Genomic DNA, 21,640 nt, shown 5'->3' with positions numbered 1-21,640 from the left:
GGTCTGTGGATGGGGCTTGTCCATGAAATCCCTAAAGCTGTGGGTCAAATGTGTAAGGTCAGGACATTTTAGAAGGGAAAGAGTGTTACTGTGTTCTGCACAGCATTCGTGACCCATAGAAGGTTACAACACACCCAGCCTTCCACAGTAACCTGGAAGACAGCATTTGCCCTCCGTGCACACACACGGCCACTCTGCCCCTCAGCACTGTCAATCAATGATCTTGGTAGAAAACCTCCCACTTCCACTTCAAGTGAAGCTTGCTGATGTTTTATAAAAAACCTGGCAATCCAGATGCCTTTTCTCAGAACCCAAATCAGGTCCAGGAAGTTGACCCATGGTGAAGGGACCTGGTTAGTTCAGCTGTGGCACAACCAGGAATGGCACAAAAATGTCATTCTAAGTCTGTGCCTTAATATAATTAAAAAAAAAACGGTAGAGAATGTCGGACCTGGATGCTCTGCATCTCAGAAAGGTTTATCATCAACAGAAGGAGACAACACGTAGCCTTTGCTGGGGACAGTGATGTGACAAGTCTCTGCCCTATCCTAGGTGCTTCTCTGTGTAGGGCTCTTCCCACGCCCACCCCCCTTGGGCAGCCTGGTAGTGCTGGGCAGGTGGGGCATCCTCTGGCTGGATCCTTTGTGGCCGCTGCATTCCACCAGGGCCAGTGCTCCCCCGAGGGCAGTGCTGCCTGTGTTTCTCTCTGAGGAGACACAAAGCACAATGATTAGGAATGGGTGAGCCCTGTAACTGCAGCATCTACTATACTCATGCTCCTTGAGCAACATGGTGTCTACACATTTCCATCAAAGCCGCTTCAGCTAGAGACCCTGCATCAGCCTTGAGTCCTGAGGCCCAGAACCACTAAAGACAGGTCATGCCCCAGAAGCCCTTGGCAGTGTGTGCAGGGGACCCTTTAGGATGTGTCCCAGGAGCAAAGCCATGCAGAGAGCACACTGCCAAGGGAACATTTTGAAAGGACACACACCACAGGTCCATTTAGGGAAAGGTAGCCACGGCCAGTTCACACCTGGCCTGGACAGCAAACCTGGTCTGCCCTGATGGTGCCAGCAGTGGCAGCAGCAGCAGGGGCTCGCCACCTCATCCTCCAGGTGTGTTCACGCTGGACCGTACATCTGAGCTGCCCCAGACAGTGATAGGCAGGAAGTACTGCAGTCATCAAGTCCTGGAATCGGGTTTCTGATTTTGATTTTGGAAGCTCTTACGTTGTTTCCTACCTACCCAAGTGTTCTGCAAACACTGGTCAAGCCTCTCGCTCTTGGGTTTAGCTGTTGATTCCACAGCTGGGTTCCTGCCACAGTCTGAATGCTTGAGACTTTCCTTCTGACCGCCAGAGTCTCACTCAGATAAAGACCACGGGTTCAGAGTTTCTTTGATTTGTAATTTGCTTACTTTACTCTTTTTTGTGAAGATAGCCAAGAAAGATCTGCAAGGACACTGGGGCCAGAGCTTTACTTTAATGGATTTCCCTGGGCTCAGGGTGTTGACAGCATTAGCAAGACCAACTGAGAGGACCCTTCAGGGGACAAATGTGCCCGGGTAGCAGGCTTGCCTGTGGGGTCACAACCCTCTATGTGGAGTGCCTTGGCTAGGGCTCTCCTCTGCTCCAGCCTGGCAGGGTCTGCCCCGTGGGCTCTAACCAGGGCATGTGTCCCCTGCTTGATTCACAGTGTTGGATCCTCCATTTCATCCCCCCAGCTTTTCCTTTGTCCTGACCGAGAGAGCGCCTTGACCACTCTGTGACTTGGTTGGCTACATGTTCCGCCAGCAGGCTCAAACCCTGGCTGGGGCCTCGCATCTTCCCAGACACTGGGGTCAAGGCCGCAGTAAGCCATGATTGCACCACTGCACTCCAGCCAGGGCAGCAGACTGAGACCCTGTCTCAAAAAATATGTATCTTGTTTATTTTATGTTTTTATTTTATTTGTTTTCTTCATTGCGTTTATTTTATTTTATTTTCTTAGTCTTCTATCACACACAAAAAATGTATTTTGTTAAGAGGCTGACTTACTTAACTGGCCCAAGTCTAAAGCAACACTGCTTGGTATGCCATGTACCACACTGGAAGAATCCAAAGCTTCTCTTCTCATTGGCACCATCACATCAGGGTTCCTTTGGGCTCAGGGCTGATCCCATGGGTCTCAGCCAGGGAGTGGCCTCCTCAAGAGAGAGCTGGGCAGCAGGCGGTGCAGGACTGGAGCCAGGGCAGGAGTGGGTGCTGGTCCTGCCCACGGCCTCACCACATACTACTGTTTGAGGAGCTGCACACCATCTTCCCATGGCTGGTAGAGAGCATTTTCAGCAGCCTAGATGGTGTCCTCATTGGCTGGAACCTCTGCTGTTTACAGGGGCACGTGGATCCTGTGGAGTACAGCATCGTGATGGAGTTTCTCAATCCTGGGTAGATAGGTTTGTCACCTGAGAGAGGCTGAGTGCTTTCTCATGGTGATTACACCTTTAAATCACTCTCTTGATTTCTTAAGAAACAATCAAAGCAAGATAATTTGCAGTTTATTTGCCCTGTTTTTGTTTGTTTGGTCAATTTCATGTTCAGTGGCCCAATAATGAAGTTGGTTTATAAGCTTCAAGCTGAAGACTATAAGTTTGACTTTCCCATCTCCTTCCTGCCTGTAAGTAAACCACAGTGGTGGGAGCAGTGCTCGGGACAGTGGACATTGCACAGCCCTGTGGTGATGGGCAGTCTCCTCCAGTCCTCCAAGGACAAATTGAGGAGTTATTTGCTCTGGGGGTGGAGAGACAAAGGAGATGGGTTGCTACCCTTGCTGTCTGCAGCTTTTTATGTGATGGTAGGAGAAGTTCTAAGCAAAGACTCTTGCACAGGCACTGCTCAGATACAGGGCACTGTCCCCACAGGTGGGTTCTGTGTGTGGGTCTTTTCCCCAGCAGCCTTCCCAAAGGGCTGCTGTGCATGGGGCACCACGTATCAGGCACTATGTTCCAGCACCTGCCCACAGCCTCGCTGCATCTCTCTGCAGGAGTCCTGTGAAGGCGTCCATCCAGGACTGCATCCTCCCTGACAGTCCCCTGTACCACAACAAGGTCCAGTTCCCCCTCACTGGGGACCTTGGCCTGAATCTAGTCCTGAGTATCCTTTGGTGGCCCTGAGGTAGCGAGGCTGTGGGTGGCCCAGCACTTGACACTTGGTGGGTAGCCCAGCAACCCTGTGTGTTTGCCCCTGAGGCTGCTGTCAGATCTGTTGGAGTATTACATATTCTCCTTTGCCTTGAGCCTCATCACTCAAAAGGTAGGGAAGAGATGCCTCCTGCTGGGAGGGGTGGGGCCGTGGCCCTGGGCTTCCCTGCACTTGCCAGTGCTTGGTGGCCAGGCAGTGCCCAGAGCCCACGCTAACAAATAGCTTGGTTTTCCAGCCACTCCCTGTGTCCCTCCACGTCTGCACTTCAGATGTGCCTACTTCATCTTGGTGCACAGGTACCTGTTATGGTTCCTGCCCACTGAAGGCAATGTGCCCCCCACACTCTTCTCCAGCCCAGGGAAGCCAGACGCTCACCAGCTCCCAGGTAAAGCTGCCCTCATTGTTATGAGCAGGTCTTGATGGGGAGGCTCTGGCCAAGGAGCCTGTTGTGCCAGTCCAAACAGGCTGAGCCTGATGCCGGACTGCACAGGTGGGGAGTGTGAACCAAGGGCTCCCATGTCTGGCTGTGCTGGGGCCTCAGTGGGCCCTAATCCAGGGCCTCCTGGCTGACTTCCCAGAAGAACCTCTTGCTCCAGTAGCAGCTGCCTGTGCACCTCTGACCCTCCTCAATCTCTCTGGCCTATCGGCTTCCCAGGGAGGCTGCATGCAGGTCCCTTCCTGCAGATGCTGGCCCATCCCAAATCTGCTGGCATGTGCAAACCAGGCCGAACCTCTACCTATAATTCACACATGTGAACAGATGCCCCAGAGAGTGGCAGGGAGAAAGGGAGTGGCAGGGAGGAGACGCTGCCCAGGTGGCGGCAGTGATCAGTGACCCTGAAATGTTGCTGATCCTGTGGAGGACTTGGAGGTGAGGCGGATTCACATCCTCTCAGATGCACAATTCAGCTGCCAAGTGGTTTTTTTTAATGCCTGTTTTTTTTTTTTTTTTTGCCTATTTTAACATTTTGGGTCTTTTTACTTTTTTCTTTTAGAAATTATATCTATAATATAAATTAAATATAATAAGTATATTTTATATATATATATATATTTTGAGATGGAGTCTCACTCTGTCGCCTAGCCTGGAGTGCGACGGCACGATCTTGGCTCTCTGCAACCTCAGTCTCCCAGGTTCAAGCAATTCTCCCACCTCAGCCTCCTGAGTAGCTGAGATTACAGGCATGTGCCACCACCCTCAGCTAATTTTTGTATTTTTAGTAGAGACAGGGTTTCACCATGTTGGCCAGGCTGGTCTTGAACTCCTGACCTCAACTGATCTGCCCGCCTCGGCCTCCTGAAGTGCTGGGATTATAGGTGTGAGCCAGTGAGCCACTGCGCCCTGGCCTTTTTTTTTTTTTTTTTTCTGAGACAGGATCTAGCTTGGTCACCTTGATCTAGTTTGGCTGAAGTGCAGTACAATGTCGACCTCCTGAGCTCAAGCGATCCTTCTACTTCAGCATCCCAAGTAGCTGATACTATAGGCATGCTGCACCCCCACACCCAGCTTTTACTTTTTGTAAGATGTGTCTAGTTAAGTTGCCCAGGCTGGTCTAGAACTCCTGTGCTCAAGTGATCCTCCTGCCTCAGCCTCCCAAAATGCAGGGGTTATGGGCATGAGCTTCCACACTCAGCCATTATGTTTGTTTTTTGGTATATTTTGGAGACAGGGTCTCGCTCTCTTTCCCAGGCTGGAGTGCAGGGGCAAAATCTCAGCTCACTGCAACCTCCGCCTCAGGTTCAAGTGATTCTCCTGGCTCAGCCTCCTGAGTAGCTGGGACTACAGGCACCTGTCACCACCCCCAGCTAATTTTTGTATTTTTAATGGAGATGGGGTTTCACCATGTTGGCCAGGCTGGTCTTGAACTCCTGACCTCAAGTGATCTGCCCACTTCAGCCTCCCAAAGTGCTGGAATTATAGGCTTGAGCCACTGTGCCTGGCCTAGCCATTAATTTTTTTAAAGACAGGATCTTACTCTGTCACACACAACAGGAATGCAGTGGCACAATCATCACTGAAGCCATTCTCTCACCTCAGTGACTACGGGCTATCACCACAGCCAGCTAACTTAAAAAAAGCAAAATTTTTTTTTCTGTAGAGATATAGGAGGGGGCCTTGCTGTGTTGCCTAAGGTGGTCTTGAACTCCTGGCCTCAGCAATTCTCCTGCCTCAGCTTCCCAAGTAGCTGGGATTACAGGTGCAAGCCACCACACCTAGCTAACTTTTTATTTTGAAATAATTTCAGGCTTACAGAAAAGTTTCCACAGATAATAAAAAGAAATTTCAGACGAAGCATGATGGCTCATGCCTGTAATCTCAACACTTTGGGAGGCCAAGGCGGGAAGATTGCTTGAGACCAAGAATTCGAGATCAGCATGGGCAACATAGGGAGACCTTGTTCCTACAAAAAATAAAATTAGCCAAGTGTGGTGATGCACAATTATGCTCCCAGCTACTCAGGAGACTGAGGTGGGAGGATCACTTGTGCTCAGGAGTTCAAGGTTACAGTGAGCTATGACTGTGCCACTGCACTCTAGCCTGCATTAACAGAATAAGACCTTGTCTCAGGGAAAAAACAAAAAACAAAAAACACTTTCATAGACCCTTCACCCAGATTTCCAAATTGCTAACACTTTGCTGCATCTGTTTTATCCCATCTCTATTGTATGTGTTTTTCTTCCCTAAGCCAATGTGAGTAAGCTACAGGATATGACACCCCTTGACCTCTTAATATTTCAGTGTATTTCCTAGAAGTGAATGCATTATCCTATATATTCACAGTGCTTATAACCACACCAGGAAGTTAGTATTGCTGCTACGCCACACCTAGTCATCAGAGCCCACTCCGGGTTCATTATCAGCTACCCGATTCATGCCCATTACCCAGCTAGGGTCCAACACAGCCTCACCAACTGTATGCAGTGATGTTTCTAGTCCCCTTCAGTCAGAATGGTCCCTCTGCCTTTCTGTCTTCCCTGATCTTGATCCCTCCAAAGCATGTGGCTGCCCTTTGGGCTGTCTGATATTTGCTGGGGCTGGCCTGGGGCCGCCCCTTGGGCTGTCTGATATCAGCTTGGGCTTTGTTGGCAGTAGCACTGCAGTGGGACATCTGGTCCTTGCCAAGTATCTCATCAAGAGGGCTGCAGTGCCCCTTTGCCCCATGCTGGTGATGTTAGCTTTATCACTGGGCAGAAAGGGTGTCGGGCAAGGTTTGCCCCCTATAGAATAAGTACTTTGTGCCCAGATTAAATAGTAATGAAGCCAGGCATGATGGCTCATGCCTGTAATCCCAGCACTTTGGGAGGCCAAGGTAGGGGATCACTGGAGTTCAGGAGTCAGAGACCAGCCCGGACAACATAGCAAAACCCCATCTCTACCCAAAATTTACATCAGGCATGGTGGCATGCACCCATAATCCCAGTTACTTGGAAGGCTGAGGTGGGAGGATCACTTTCACCCTGGAGGCAAAGGTGGCAGTGAGTCAAGATCGTGCCACCGTACTCCAGCCTGGGCTACAGAGCAAGACCTTATCTCAAAAAAAAAAAAAAAATTAGTAATGAGTGTCTGGACAACATAACAAGGCTTTGTTTCTATTAAAAAGAAAAACATTAGTCAGGCATGGTGGTGTGCACCTGTGGTCCCAGCTACTTGGGAGGCCTAAGTCTAGGCAGTTGAGGTTGCAGTGAGCTGTGATTGCATCATTGCACTCCAGCCTGGGCAGCAGAATGAGGCCCTGTCTCAAAAAAAAAAAAAAAAAAAAAAAAACAAATCATTTTATTTTATTTTGAGACAGGGTCTCATTCTCTCACCCAGGCTGGTCTCAAATGCCTGGTCTCAAGAAATCCTCCTGCCTTGGTCTCCCAAAGTGCTGAGATTACAGGTGTGAGCCCCCATGCCTGACCTCAGTGTTGATTCTGGACCAAATCAGCTCTTAATAGGGCGGTTGCCAAATGGTGGTTCTCTAACTTCATCCCTCCTACATTGATTAGCGGATCTGTGGTCACTCTGTGGTAAGGAAGACTTCTCTCTTTGCTATTTATTTATTCAGGGATATCAGTGTGGATCATGGGGTTGGGGGGAGCATTGTGCTACTGAACAAATTGTAATCGGTCCCTACTGCCATTGATTTTGATGTCCAGATTGCCCCTAGCTAGGCCAGTGGGAGCCTGCAACTTGGACCTGTTTCTGTGTCTCCCTCAGGACACCAGCCATGCCCTTTGCTTCCTACAGCCTCCACCACACTAGCCTCCTGCAGCAAAACATCTCTCATCAGACCTCTGTGAATGCAGACCCCACCTCTCACGAGATCTGGAGGTCAGAAACTCTGCTCCAGGTGAGAGCTGAGCTGGTCTCAGCTTCTGTTTCAAAAGAAACTCTTCAGCCAGTGGGCGCAGTGGCTCACACCTGTAATCCCAGCACTTTGGGAGGCTGAGGCGGGTGGATCACCTGAGGTCAGGAGTTTGAGACCAGCCTGTCCAACATGGGAAAACCCTATCTCTACTAAAAATACAAAAATTAGCCAGGCTTGCTGGCAGCCGCCTGTAGTCCCAGCTACTCAGGAGGCTGAGACAGGAGAATTGCTTGAACCGGGAGACAGAGGCTGCAGTGAGCTGAGATTGCACCACTGCACTCTAGCTTGGGTGACAGAGCTAGACTCCATCTCAAAAAAAAAAAAAAAGAAAAAGAAAAGAAAGAAAAGAAACTGTTCAGCCACCTTCCGCTATGTGCAGGAGCATCTGAGGCGGCCTTTCAGCCCAGGGCTGATTCTAAATTGGTGGTATTTTCCTGCTATGACATTTAGAAAAACATGAAAATAAATCTGCCCACCCATCTAGCCCCACCCGTCTAGCTTATATGTCATTGGTGTTTTTCATCCCAGGATCCCCTGTCCATAGGAGTTGTTTCATCTTGCCCGTGGTGGATGTAATTGTTGCAGAGTGTTTTGGTTTCCATCTCCCTTGTTGCTGATGTTTCCTGTGATTACCACCATGTGGGTATTAAGCCCTGTCCCACTAGCATTTTTATGACACTGGATGGTGAGTGTCTGTGCAGCCTCCACAAGCCTTCAACTGATTCAGAGGATGCGAGTAGTGGGTGACAGAGTCCCCTGTCTGCCCAGAGGGGCTCCAGCCTCTCAGGATGGTATGGGCTGGCTCGCTTCCTGAGTGCTGGCCGTCTCTCAGGTCCTGGCTGTGTCTTCTCGGCACACCTCAGAGATTCAGCAGGTGCTGCTTCTGACACTGGATCCTAGGGCTGACCTGGTAGTCTCAGCATCACTGTTCACAGCCTGGCATGTAGATAACATAGGATTCTTTCTCCCACCTTGTACATAACTCCTAATATGTGGGGTGCTGTGTTTTTTGAAGCCTCCATGCCGTTTCACAGCTTCCTCCAGGGGTGAAATGGTAGGAACCATCACTCCTGTTCAGAGGGGACCATGGTGCCCAGATGGCTCTTGGGTGTGTGGACTGTGGGCTGTGCTGGCCGTGAAGTGGGCAGGAGACCATGACACAAGCTTACAGGACAGAACTGGAGGGTTCTGTTGTTTTCCAGACCAAAGCATTATTATTATTATTATTTTAGATGGAGTCTCTGTCACCCAGGCTGGAGTGCAATGGTGAGATCTTGGCTCACTGCAACCTCCACCTGGGTTCAAGTAATTCTCCTGCCTCAGCCTCCTGAGTAGCTGGGATTATAGGCACCCGCTGCTGTTGTGGGAAGTCAGCGACCCCGAACGGAGGGACTGGCTGAAGACATGGCAGAAAAACATAAATTGTGAAGATTTCATGGACATTTATTAGTTCCCCAAATTAATACTTTTATAATTTCTTACGCCTGTCTTTACTGCAGTCTCTGAACACAAATTGTGAAGATATCATGGACATTTATCACTTCTCCAATCAATACTCTTATAATTTCCTATGCCTGTCTTTAATCTGTTAATCCTATCATCTTCGTAAGCTGAGGATGTATGTCACCTCAGGATCCTGCGATGATTGCATTATCTGCACAAATTGTTTGTAGAGCATGTGTGTTTGAACAATATGAAATCTGGGCATCTAAAATGAACAGGATGGCTGTGATTTTCAGGGAACAAGGGAGATAACCATTGGGCATGACTGCCTGAGGGGCTGGACAGAACAGTCATATTTCTCTTCTTACAAAAGCAAATAGGAGAAATATCGCTGGATTCTTTTTCTCAGCAAGCAACAGCCCTGAGAAAGAGAATGCATTCCTAGGCGGAGGTCGCTAAAATGTCCGCTCTGGGAGTGTCTATCTTATATGGTTGTAGATAAGGGATGAAATAGGCCCCAGTCTCCTGTAGCGCCCCCAGGCTTATTAGGATTAGGAAATTCCTGCCTAGTAAATTTTAGTCAGACCGGTTGTCTGCTCTCAAACCCTGTCTCCTGATAAGATGTTATCAATGACAATGCGTGCCCAGTGGGACATGAAACTTCATCAGCAATTCTAATTTCACTCTGGTACTGTGATCTCACTCTGCCCCCATCTGCCTTGTGATATTTTATTGCCCTTGAAGCATGTGATCTCTGTGACCCACACCCTATTTGTACACTCCCTCCCCTTTTGAAATCCGTAATAAAAACTTGCTGGTTTTGCAGCTGAGGGGGCACTTCATGGAACCTGCTGACATATGATGTCTCCCCCAGACACCCAGCTTTAAAATTTCTCTTTTGTACTCTTTCCCTTTATTTCTCAGACCGTCCAACACTTAGGGAAAATAGAAAAGAACCTATGTTGAAATATTGGGGGCTGTTTCCCCCAATACGCTGCCATGCCCAGCTAATTTTTGCATTTTTAGTAGAGATAGGGTTTCACCATGTTGCTCCAGGCTGATCTCGAACTCCTAACCTCAGGCAATCCACCTGCCTCAGCCTCTCAAAGTGCTGGGATTATAGGTGTGAGCCACCACACCTGGCTCTTTTTGCTTTTTAAGAAAAAAATTTAATTTTAAAATATACATAACATAAAATGTACTGTCTTACCCATTTCCAAGTGTACAGTCAGTAGTGCTAAGTATATTCACGTTGCTGTGCAACCCATCTCCAGAATGCTTTTCACCTTGCAAAACTGAAACTGAATCGGCCCGGCCATGGGGACCTCACATCTGTAATCCTAGCACTTTGGGAGGCCAAGGAGGGAAGGATTGCTCAAGGCCAGAAGTTTGAGTCCAGCCTGGCCAACATAGTGAGACCCCATCTCTTTTAACAACAAAAAAGAAACCGAACCATTAAACTATTCCCCACCCAGCCCCTGGCAACCACTATTCTGCTTTCTGTTTCTATGGATTTGACTCCTAGATCTCATATCTAGAGTATTTACGTACAGCAACACAGTACTTATTTGTGTGACTAGCATGCTTCACTCAGCGTAATGGACTCAAGATTAATCCGTGTTACAGATTATGTCAGAATGTCCTTCCTTTTTAAGGCGGAATAGTGTTCCATTGTGTGGATGTACCACATTATGTGTATCCGTTCATCTCACAGTGGACACTTGACTTGCTTCTGTTTTTCTTTTTTTGCTTGAGACAGGGTCTCACTCTGTTGCCCAGGCCAGGGTGCAGTGGCACAATCTCAGCTCAAACTACTGGGAACAAGTGATCCTCCCACCTCAGACTCCCAAGTAGCTGGGACAATAGGTGTGTCCTACCACACCCCGTTCATTTTTGTGTTTTTTGTAGAGACAGGTTTTCACTATGTTGGCCACGCTGATCTTGAACTCCTGGCCTCAAGTGATCTACTTGCCGCAGCCTCTCAAAGTGCTGGGATGACAGGCGTCAGCCACCACATCTGCTGGTTGCCTTTCTACTCTATCAGTAGTATCTTTTGACACTCAAGAGTGATTTTGATGAAGCCTGCTTGTCTATTTTTCTTCTTTTGTTGCCTGTGCTTTGGGCATCATATCTAATTAATCATTGCCAAATCCAGTGTCATGAAGCTTTCTCCCATGTTTTCTTCTCAGAGTTTATGGTTTTAGTTCTTATCCTTGGGCTACTTACTGACTTTTAGTTTTTGGTGATGGTGTGAAGGAAGGGCCCAGCTTTACTGTTCTGCATGTGGCTATTCTGTGCTCCCAGCTCTCTTGTTGGAGACACTGTCCTTTCCCCACTGAATGGTCTTGGCACCATTGTTGAGAATAATTTGACTAGTGAATGCTTTTTTGCAGGTTTTTGTTGAAATGTGGCTTCACCAGTATTCCTTGGGGATGTGACAAAAAATGCAGTCCCCTCACGACAAGGTATGTTTCCACTGTTTTTCTTCCCACCTCCTGCTCTGACCCTGCTCAGCCTGCTGCTTCCTATCCTGAGTGAGACTGCACAGGCTGGATGGTGGGAATAGAGACTCACCACCCACCCCTCACTCAGAAGCCAAACAAGAGGTGGGCATAGTTCTCTCATACCTGGTGGGGGGCAGGGGGCGTTGCACCCTGACGTGTAGACACTTGAGGCCTGGACTCTCCAGAGCCCCCTCCCTGGCAGGGGAACAGATAAGGCTGTGGTGCTCTTGTTCTGGGTGTAGGGGAGCTGTGATGTCTCTGGGAGCCACGTTCTCATCTGCCTCCTTGACCATCAGCAGTGACTTTGTGTTTTCCCATGAAGTGGTTGCCTGGGGCATATGCCTGACCACCATGGTGACCTGGAGCCTCCTTTTCCTGTTCCCCCCTACTCCCCCACCTCCTCCAGAGCATGAACAAGCAGTCTTTCTCATGGTGGGTGGGGCCTGGCACCTGCCTGCATGCGGCCTGGCCTGCCTTCTCTCCCTCTGCCTCACCTCTCCCTCTTCCCTCTCTGGGGAGCATGCTACTCACAGATGCATGGAGGTGGCGGAGGCCCTGGGTCGCTCCTGCTGTGGCTGTCCATGGAGCTAACATCCCCCTGGACTGGTCAGAGTGAGAATGCGGTAGATCCCCAGTCAGGAACCCTCCATGGAGCAGCTTGACTCATGCACATCTGCGACCCTGCCTGAGGTGGCATCAGCCACATAGTCTGGTGCCCACAGTGTCTGCATCAGTGTGCTTTGGAGACTTTGGCATTGTCACTGACAAAATTCTTGAGGGCTTCCTCCAGAATAAAGGCTCTGTGGGTGACAGAGTTAAACTTCAGAACAGCATCCTGTGACTTTTCCTCTGGGAAAGCTCAGGGAAGAGCTGTGGATCTGCTTCTGCCACGGTCTCTGCAGCCAGTTCTACGGCCCCAGGCTTTGCAGTGTGGAGGCTGTCTCAGAGCGTAGGGTCCCCCAAATCCTCACCCTCAGCATCACATGGGAGAATGGAGAAAAGCTGAGGACCCCATCTTGGGCCTCCTGAGTCACAAAGAGCCTACAGTGCCCTTCGTGCTTCCAGAGCCAACTAGCTGCATGTGCCCGGCCAGTGCCTGGTGGCCTGGTTGCTCCCACGGCCCATTCCTCCCGTGGGGCTCTGGGATGCTCACTTAGTGCTCCTGCATGTAGTTCTGGCCTAGCAGAGGCAGGAGCTGCTACATTGCATTGTGTTCCTGTTGCTCCTTCTGCCTTCTGAGTGAGTGGAAACACACCTACTTTCAAAGGCCAGCCAGAAAGGCTCCTCTGGGCTGTCACCTGTGACGATTGTGTCCTCACGGGCCAGAGGGAAAAGCAGGTGCCTTTCCCTTCTTCCCCACATTCACTTACTCTTGGCCAGACCTTGGGGTGGGTGTGCCCTGCTCAGAATGACTTGCAGTGGCGGGACCAAGTACCCAGAGATGATCCACTCTTTGCCTCTTCCAATTGAGGTGAAAAAACATGAGAAAACTCAGTGGGTGGGAGCCAGAGAAAGGCAACTATGGAAGTCTGTGTCCTCTAAGGCCCCTTGCCACTTGCCTGGGCCCGTGCTGCACCTGCCATACAGAAATCCCTGCCCATCCCTGCTAACCCTTATTTCCAGATGCAGGAAGTGAGGCTCCTGGGGTCATTCTCCTCACCCTGGTTGTGTCCAGGGTGTGTGCTTACTCCCCGGTGGTCCCGTGGGCAGTAAGGATGGCCACAGTGCTGCAGGCCACTGTGTTCCTGCAAGCAAGGAGACACCACACTGGGGAACTGTATGTCAGATTCCTGCCCAAGCCCCAGGTCTGGCACAGAGGAAGACTGTGGAGAGCAACACCTCCCTGCCCTGCTCTTTCCCACCCTGCTCTGCGTGTCTTGATGTCTAGCAGGTGTGTTCTGATCTCTCCTGATGTGGACCCCAGTGGAGGCACTGCTTCGACAGGAAGCATGGTGCTGCCAGGGCAGGATGTGCGCCAGGATGCCTCTGGCTGCGCTAGGCTGAAGGGGTGCTTTGGAAGGCCACGGTGCTGCAGGGCATGTAGGTTGGAGGGTCCTGGCTGGGAGCCAGCTAAGCCTCAGGTTCCTGCTGCCTCTGGGTTTGTGTGGTTCTGGCCAGATCCTCGAGGGCTCCTGCCCTTGGAAGCCCACCATTATCTGGAGAGTGAGAGTTCCTGGTGCTGTAGGAGAGGATGCCTTCTAGCGTCAGAACTGATGTGCACACCACCTCAGCTGACCTCCAGACTGTAAGGGTGGAGGGCAGAGCCTGGTGCCCTGAGGGACATGTGCTCGTCCTTAGTTCTCAGAGAGCCACTCATGGAGGGGACATTGGGTTTTAGACACATAGGAATTGATCATGTCTTATACCAGTTTGGTAAATTTCTCAAGACAACCCAGGGAAATCGTCAATTACACGTGTCTTTTCTGGGCAGAGTCCACCTCCTGGACATGCTCCACTGGTTCTTTTCTGAGCCTCAGGACCTTGAGGTCTTGGTGGCTGGCAGCATGTCTCAGTGAGGGCCCTAGGCTCTTGAGGAGCTCTGATGTGCATGTGACACGGTGTGGCCTGAGTCACAGGGGAGAGTGGGTCCCATCTGGAAGGGCAATGAGTTGGGCCCTTCCAATGAGCTGGAGAGGTCTTTAGGCCCCAGCAACATTGAGTGGCCACCCAGGTGACCTGGAGTGTCTGTCTGCCCAGGCCTCCAAGGCTGATGAGTGTGTGGCCACAGCCCTGGCCTGACTGTGGAGGGTGGGTGCTGCAAATGACCCGTGGCTGCTGGGACTGTTTGGATTGTCACTGACTGTGGTGTTTTCTCCTCCTCACTTCTGGCCTCATTCTCATTGCGCTCTCTCTCCACTTTGCCCTCCCATGTCTGGTCCCATCTCTCCCCTTCCCCACCCCAACCTCTTGTTCTCTGCTCTTCTGTCTCTTCCGGCTTCTGTTGGTTGTCTCAGCTGGAGATTCTGCACTACTGTCTCCAGCACCCTCCACAGCCCCGCCCAACTTAGCCTCCAGGCTCTTCACAGCCTACCAAGTACTGGCTGTGGTCCTTAGTTCCTTTCCCCCACCCAGAGTGCATGTCCACATCTGGCAAAGCAAGGGGTCAGCCGCAGGTGACTGAAGAGTTTAGTTCCAGGCAGAATGAAACCCCTGTTGTTGGTGAGGTGGGGGTCAGCCTCCAGCCTGGCCTGGCCCCTGGCGTTGCAGAGTAGCCTGGTGACTATGAGGCAGAATGAGGTGTATGGCCCGGGCTGGCCAGGCTCCCATCCAGTGGAAGTGTCACAAGCTCTCTGGTGTTGGGGGCCCCGTGCCTGGCCCTGGTTTGAAGAGCTGGAGTTGTCAGGCCTCTGCAGTGACCAGGTTCACCCCCACTCTGCAGGGTTTGGCACTTGGGAAGATACAGAGGCCTGGGACTTCCGGGTGGTGTAGTTTCTGTCTTCTTCAGAAGTGTCTTGTCACGCAGCCTGGAGGTGCTGTGACCCAGAGCCTGTGAGGCAGGGGGATAGGAAGAACCTGGGGCTTGACCTTATAGCCCACAGAAGCTGTCAGTCCTTGACAGCCCAGCCATGGCCCGGCCTTCACCTGGGGAGCTCTGGCCACTCATACAACCTCCAGAGATGGATGAGTGTAAGCGGTGACCTCATAGAGGTTGTGGCTGTCTAGACAGAAATGACACGTGTGTGGATGGATTTGGGGTCAGTGGAGTTCAGACCTGTAGGGGACTTCAAGGATGGCAGAGTTAATGAATCTGTGACAGTGGGGGGAGATGAGCTGTGCTCGCAGCCAGGGGTCTGTCCCATTCACCTGGAAAGGAGCACATGAGTGAACGGGAATTTGAGCACAAGATGAGAAAACGTGTTGGGCCCCGAGTGCTGGTGGGCTGGGATGGCAGTCACAGCACATGGGGGTGCCCCATTCTGCAGGAGCCACTGCAGAGCAGGGACTAGAGGGCTTGGGCCAGGTGGGGAGGGCAGTGTCCAGGAACCATCTGGCAAACCCTATGATGGGAGGGGAAACTAGTGAGGCCCACATGGAGTGAGCTGAGGTACTATAAGGCTGGGCCCAGTGGGAAACATGTGGCTTTGAGGACACATCCTTAAGAAGCAAGCAGGTGCAACTGTCGCCAGGGACTCCATGTGGGAACATGGCCCAGGAGGGCTGCAAAGCTGGGGGAGAAGTTTGGCTCAGCAAACCTGTTGGAAAATAGTGAGAGGGATCCATGTGACTGCTGGGAGCAAGGGCAGTGAGCCCTCCAGACTCTTTGGAAGGGCCAGGTGAGATGGGGTGAGTGCACCAGTGGGGGAAGGTGGGTTTCCAGTTCCCATGTGGAGGTCATCTGCTCCCCTGAGCCGTAAGGAGGATGTCATGACTCAGGATCCCAGGTCAGGATCAGAGGGAGGGCTGGGGCTGAGACTGGAGGAGAAGGACCCTGGACCCCCCCCCGCTGGTGCCCTTCTAGTTGGGCAGTATAGGTACAGGTATTATATCTCATACTTTTCTCCTTTCTTCTTTTTTGAGATGGAGTCACCCTCTGTTGTCCAGGCTGGAGTGCAGTGACATGATCTTGGCTTACTGCAGCCTCCACCTCCTGGGTTCAAGCAGTTAATCTGCCTTAGCCTCCTTAGTAGCTGGGATCACATGTGCATGCCACCATGCCTGGCTAATTTTTGTATTTTTAGTAGAGATGGGGTTTCACCATGTTGGCCAGGCTGGTCTCAAACTCCTGACCTCAAGTGATCTGCCTGCCTCAGCCTCCCAAAGTGCTGGGATTACAGGCATGAGCCACCATGCCTAGGCCTTCCTTCCAAAACAACTCAAATTTATTGCCCAAAGGCCTAACAGTACAGATAAATACAAGTAAATAGCTGGGCACGGTGGCCCACGCCTGTAATCCCAGCACTTTGGGAGGGGGAGGCAGGCAGATTGCTTGAGCTCAGGAGTTTGAGACCAGCCTGGGCAACATGACAAGACCCCCATGTCTCCAAAAAATCATACAAAAATTAACCAGGTGTGGTGGTGTGTACCTGTGGTCCCAGGTACTCAGAAGGCTGAGGTGGAAGGATCCCTTGAACCCAGGAGGCAGAGGCTATGGTGAACTGAGATCACGCTACTGCATTCCAGCCTGGGAGACAGAGTGAGACCTTGTCTCAAGAAAGAAAAAAATAGCCCTCACCCCATAACTCGATCCTCAGACTCAGCCACTATCTGTGGGGTGTCACCTGGACCTGTGGGACATTTTCCTGACGGATACTTGAGTGGATTTTGATGTGGGCAGTGGCCCCTGTGGGGTCTGCAGCATCCCAGGATATACCTGGAGGCCATGCCCTGCACCAGCCTCAGCAGCACACACATGTGGAGGCCCAAAGGGCTGGGGGGCAAGCATGGAGAGGCGAGCACGTCCACTCAGACTCGGGGTCCTGCCTTCAGTGCCCCCATTCCCATGCCCTCATCCACTCGATGCTTCGACCTGTCCTCCCAATGCTGAGCAACCAGAGGAGGCCCACAGCCAGCAAAAAGCCTTTCCTCTCAGGTTAGGTCTCCAGGATCCCACTTGTGTTGCAAATCAAAAGTCTGGCTTAACTTGACCGTGCTCTTGTCTTGGGGGCCTTCCTGACCACAGGTCCATGGGCAACAGAGGAAGTGATGCCTGGAGCTTCTCCTGGGCTGAGCCCTCATCTGGCTGTGTCCAGGATGAAGAGCAGGTGGAAGGAATTAGGGAGGAAAGCAAAGCCATGGGGTTCTTACTTTCTGAACAGGGTTTTACTGTGTCACCCAGGCTGGAGCGCAGTGACATGATCCCAGCTTACCACACCCTTGAACTCCTGGGCTCAAGTGATCCTCCCACCCCTGCCTCCCGAGTCACTACGGCTATAGGTGTGCACCACCACACCCAGCTGACTTTTAAAAATCTTTCATGGAGACGGGGTCTCCCTGTGTTGCCCAGGCTAATCTCAAACTCCCGGCCTTAGCGATCTTCCTGCCTCAGCCTCCCAAAGTGCTGGAATTCCAGGTCTGAGACACCACACCTGGGTTCCATGTGCTTTCTGCACACACTTGGGAGGCCAGTGGGAGACCCTAGATCCAGAGTTTGAGGGTGACACCGGCCTTCTCCTGCCCTGAGGATCAAGCAGTGCCCAAGGGCACAGTCTGGTAAGCCCTATCCTGCGCCACCCACTGTGGGTGCGCAGCAGTAGGCAGGGGAGGGGTCAGGGCTGGGAGTCCCCCTGCAGATGTGTCTGTCCTAGAGAGCCCTGCCCAAGGTGGGCTGTGTGGGTGTTGGGCCAAGTGCTTCCCTACCATGAGCTGGTTGCAGTTTAGACCAAGCAGTGCAAGGTAGATGTGCTGGGTGCCAGGCACAGTGGTGTTCCAGGACCCAGTGGCCCCACTCCAGGCCTGGCTCGTGCTTCTGGTGGGGAAGTAAAGCAAATGGCCCAGGGCAGGATGTGGTCAGACCTGGAGGCCAAGTGCTGTGGTTGCCACAGCCCTTCCCATCCCTGACCCCTCCTCCTCCACCTAGCAGTGGTTCAGGCCCACTGGGGAGCACGTGCTGGTGGTGTGCCTGCTGCTGAAGCACCTGCAGGCATTTGCCAACAGCCTGAAGCCTGAGCAGGCCTCGCTCTCCTCCCACTCCCACTCCACCAGCCGCCTGGAGGAGTTGAAATGGTGGGTGGCCCTTGCAGCTTCCGCAGCTGCTGTCTCCTTCTCTTACCCCTCCTCAGGTGTCGCCCACAGGGACCTCACCCCAGGGCATGGTGGGGGGCAGGGTTAGGGGAGTCCCTTCCTGCTCACAGAGCATGTGAGGCCTCTGGAGGGCTAGACAGGTGCTTTTACACCCTGTCTAGGTGGCCCAGCGGGGCTGCCAGCTGATCTCTGGCTCCCAGAGCCTGTCTCCAGACTGGCCAGAGAGGCCCCACCGTGCTGCCATCTCTTGCTTCCCCCCACCCCTGTCTGGAGAAGGGCTGGGATGACCCTGACTCCCAGGCCCACCAGGGCCAGCAGAGTGGGCTATTTGCGTGGGACTGAGGTGAGGTGTGTGCAGGAGATGCACTGGCTCGCCGGCCTGCGTGCTGTGTGTTCTTGGGATGTTCCCTGACCTCTCTGAACCTTGGTTTCTTCCTCTGAGGAATGGGGCTAAGGCCAGCTCTTACCTCTCGGAGGTGCATGGTGCTCTCCCCCAGCAGATCCAACCCTTGTTGATGAGCTCTGGACTCATCTATGAGCAGGGCCTCCTTACCGGGTAAGCAGCAGGTGACCCATCCTATTCCCTGCAGGGCCACTGTCCCAAGATTCGTCCAGCAGAAACTCTACCTCTTCCTGCAGCGTTACTTTGGCCACTGCCCACTGGCCGCATCGTTCAGAGCTGTACTGGCTCCGTAACACGTGTGCCTGTGTCTTGTGTACCCTAATGAGGGAGGTCCACTGGGGTGGATGAGGAGGAGAACAAGTGTTGTCGTGAGGCCTTGGAGAGGAGGGAGCTCGTGGAAAGGAGGGGACCCTTGGAGGGCCACATGGTTCTGTTTCAGTTTCCAAAGCCAACCCTCAGGTACAGGAAAGCCCTGCCCTGTCCCACCTGTGTGGTGCCAGGCAGGTTCCTACCCTTACCAGACCAGGGAGCACTGGGCCCCCTGGGCTGGGAAAAGCCCACCCATGGCCCTGGCTTCTGAAGGGCCTGCAAGAGAGCCAAACCTCACAGGGCTGTGTGAGTCTCTCTTGCGCCCTCTGGGGGACGTGGGAAGAGCCAGTCCCACCCAGCTGCTGCCTGGGACCTGGACTCCAGACTAATGGAGGATTTGGCCCCCAGCCACTGGGCCCTCAGCTCACGTCTCCTCCCACAGGTCCTGGAAATGTGGCTGAGCTACCTGCAGCCATGGCGGTATGTGCCTGACAAGCAGGCTCCAGGCAGCGACTCCCAGTCCCGGTGTGCATTGGAGAAATGGTGAGCCTCGGCCCCTCTCCTCACAGCCATGCCACTGGCTCCCCAAAATGGATGTTGCTCCAGTGGTTGGAGGCCAAGCCAGTGGCCTGTGCTGGAGTCAGCCTGGCCCTGGCCCCGGTGGCCTCCTGGGTTCCTCTCCCAGGCCCTGCTTTGTGGAGCACAGACCAGCCCTTCCTAGGCTCAACTTTGCCAGGCCCTAGAATTGGTATCTTATGGAAGCAGTGGGTGACCCATCCTGCCCTGTCCCCTCTCCCTTCTGGCCCAGACATATGTTCAGTGACGCCCAAACTATCCCTTGAGCCTCACCAGCACAGAGTAGAGCAGTGGCTGTCTTCCCCTCATCCCCTGCTTGATCCTTATGTCCATCTCAGACCAGTGTGTGGAGAGCCCCCTGGCTGCTCCTTCCTGTTGTGGCTGGGCTTTGGCCCCCATGAATACCAACGGCTCCTACTCAGCCAACGACCTGGACAAGATGGGGCGGGACAGTGTCCAGAAGACAGACAAGTACCTGGAGGCGGCCCTGGAGTACCTGCACCAGATATTCCCGGTACAAACTATGGGGCCTGCCCCACAGCCATCAGCGTCCCCTTCTTCAAAGGATCCACTCCCCCTCACTCAGCCTGTGGTCAGCCCAAGTACCAGTTCCAGGCCCCACTGAGATGGAGCCAGTGTTGTGGGAGGCAGGCCCAGACTGAGTGTCAAGTCTGTGTCCCCTTGTTGCCACTGTTAAGAGGCTGGCGGGGTGAAGACCAGTCCCCACCCTTCTCCTTGATGCAGAGGGCAGAGGCGCTTCTTTCTGGCAACTCAGTGAAGCACAGCTCACACAATTCACACTTGCCTTGGGCACCACCCAGGATGAGAATGAAAAGCAGCAGCTCCTCGACTGCACCGTGGGTGAGGATGGACTCATCCTCATGCCGCTGGGTCAGTACCAGGTGAGAGGCCCCTGTCCCAGAGGTGCGTGGGCTGGGTCCCGACCTGTCCCCACCTCCTTCCTCCCCCATGAGCATATGCAGCTCCGCTCCTCTGAGTTGTGTACAGGCGGTTTTCTGACCTGTCCCTGTGGCCTGGGTTTCTAGATCATCAATGCACTGTGAAGGTTTGACATTGAGTACCAGGGGACCCAGAGCTGCAGTCCATCTGGAGCTACGAGATTGCCAGCTTGATCTGTGTGCTCTTCCAGTGGTCGTCTGCCATCAACCACAGAGTGAGTGGGCAGGAGGGTCAAAGGAGGGCCAACCTGGCCTCTTCAGAGAGGGTTCTCCATGCTCCTGCCCAAGGTGGCCTGTGGGGGTGGGGCGCTGCTGTCCTGAGGCCTGTGGTGCCACCACCCCACGCCCCCCTACCTCTGTCTGTGCATCATTTTGCAGGCCAGATGGCAGTCAGCTCTGTGTTCCTGGGACGACTTCCTTGGCAGCTTCTGTCTCTTATCATTTCATGAGCCTGTGCTGGCCAGCAGGCACCTGCTAAGCCTCATGGGCAGATGCAGGCAGCCGGCCATGCCCATGGCCCCAGGCTCAGCCTGTGCCTCCTGGGTAGCTACCAGATTCCGCTTTGGCTGCTGCTGGCCTTCTTTGAGGTCTCTCTGTTCTGAGTTGGGCCCTCCCTGACACTGCTGCTTGCCCTGGTCTATGTCCTCTAAGCTTCAGCTGTGAGGCTGCTGAGTGGAGAAGCTGCAGCAGCCCTGATGGTGTTGGCCACTGTCTTCAGAGAAGGCTGGGGGGATCTGCCATACAGCCCCACCCTTGGGCTTGGGAGGTGATGGGAGCACACCCCCCAATGACCCTGCCCCCGCACCTGCAAAAGCCCACCACACTTCAGCACTGTGTGCTCATCTGCCAGCTGTGAAATGTCAGAGCGAAATGTCAACATCTTGCAGGCCCAAGAGGTGAGGCCCTGGGTGGTGGGGATGGCCCTGGGCAGCCTGGCGCTGCCGTGGGCCCCACCATGCTGATGTCCCTGTCTTTCAGCTGCAGTAACTCAAGTCCCTCCTGCAAAAGGGCCAGAGGCCCCGGTGGCCCCAGAGGCGGCTGGGTCTAGCTCTCCCAGGTGAGTGTCTGGTAACCCCCACCTCATCCCTGGGGCGTGTTTGGGGCTCACTGCTGACTATTCCTTCACCGAGGGACCAGGAAACCATGCAGTTCCCCCAGGTCTCCACCAAGAGTCTCTCCAAGAAATGGCGAGTCCCACTGGCATGGGGACAGGGGCAGCCCTGCAGCCTGGGCCC

General features: G+C 53.0%; 1 pseudogene; it reads left to right on the top strand.

Moving 5' to 3' along the window:
* Positions 2,281 to 21,192, top strand: SMPD4P2 (sphingomyelin phosphodiesterase 4 pseudogene 2; annotated as a pseudogene).

The sequence above is a fragment of the Homo sapiens genome, chromosome 13 (genome assembly GCF_000001405.40).
Source record: "Homo sapiens chromosome 13, GRCh38.p14 Primary Assembly".
NCBI lineage: Eukaryota > Metazoa > Chordata > Mammalia > Primates > Hominidae > Homo > Homo sapiens.
This window is presented reverse-complemented; position numbering and strand designations above follow the sequence as displayed.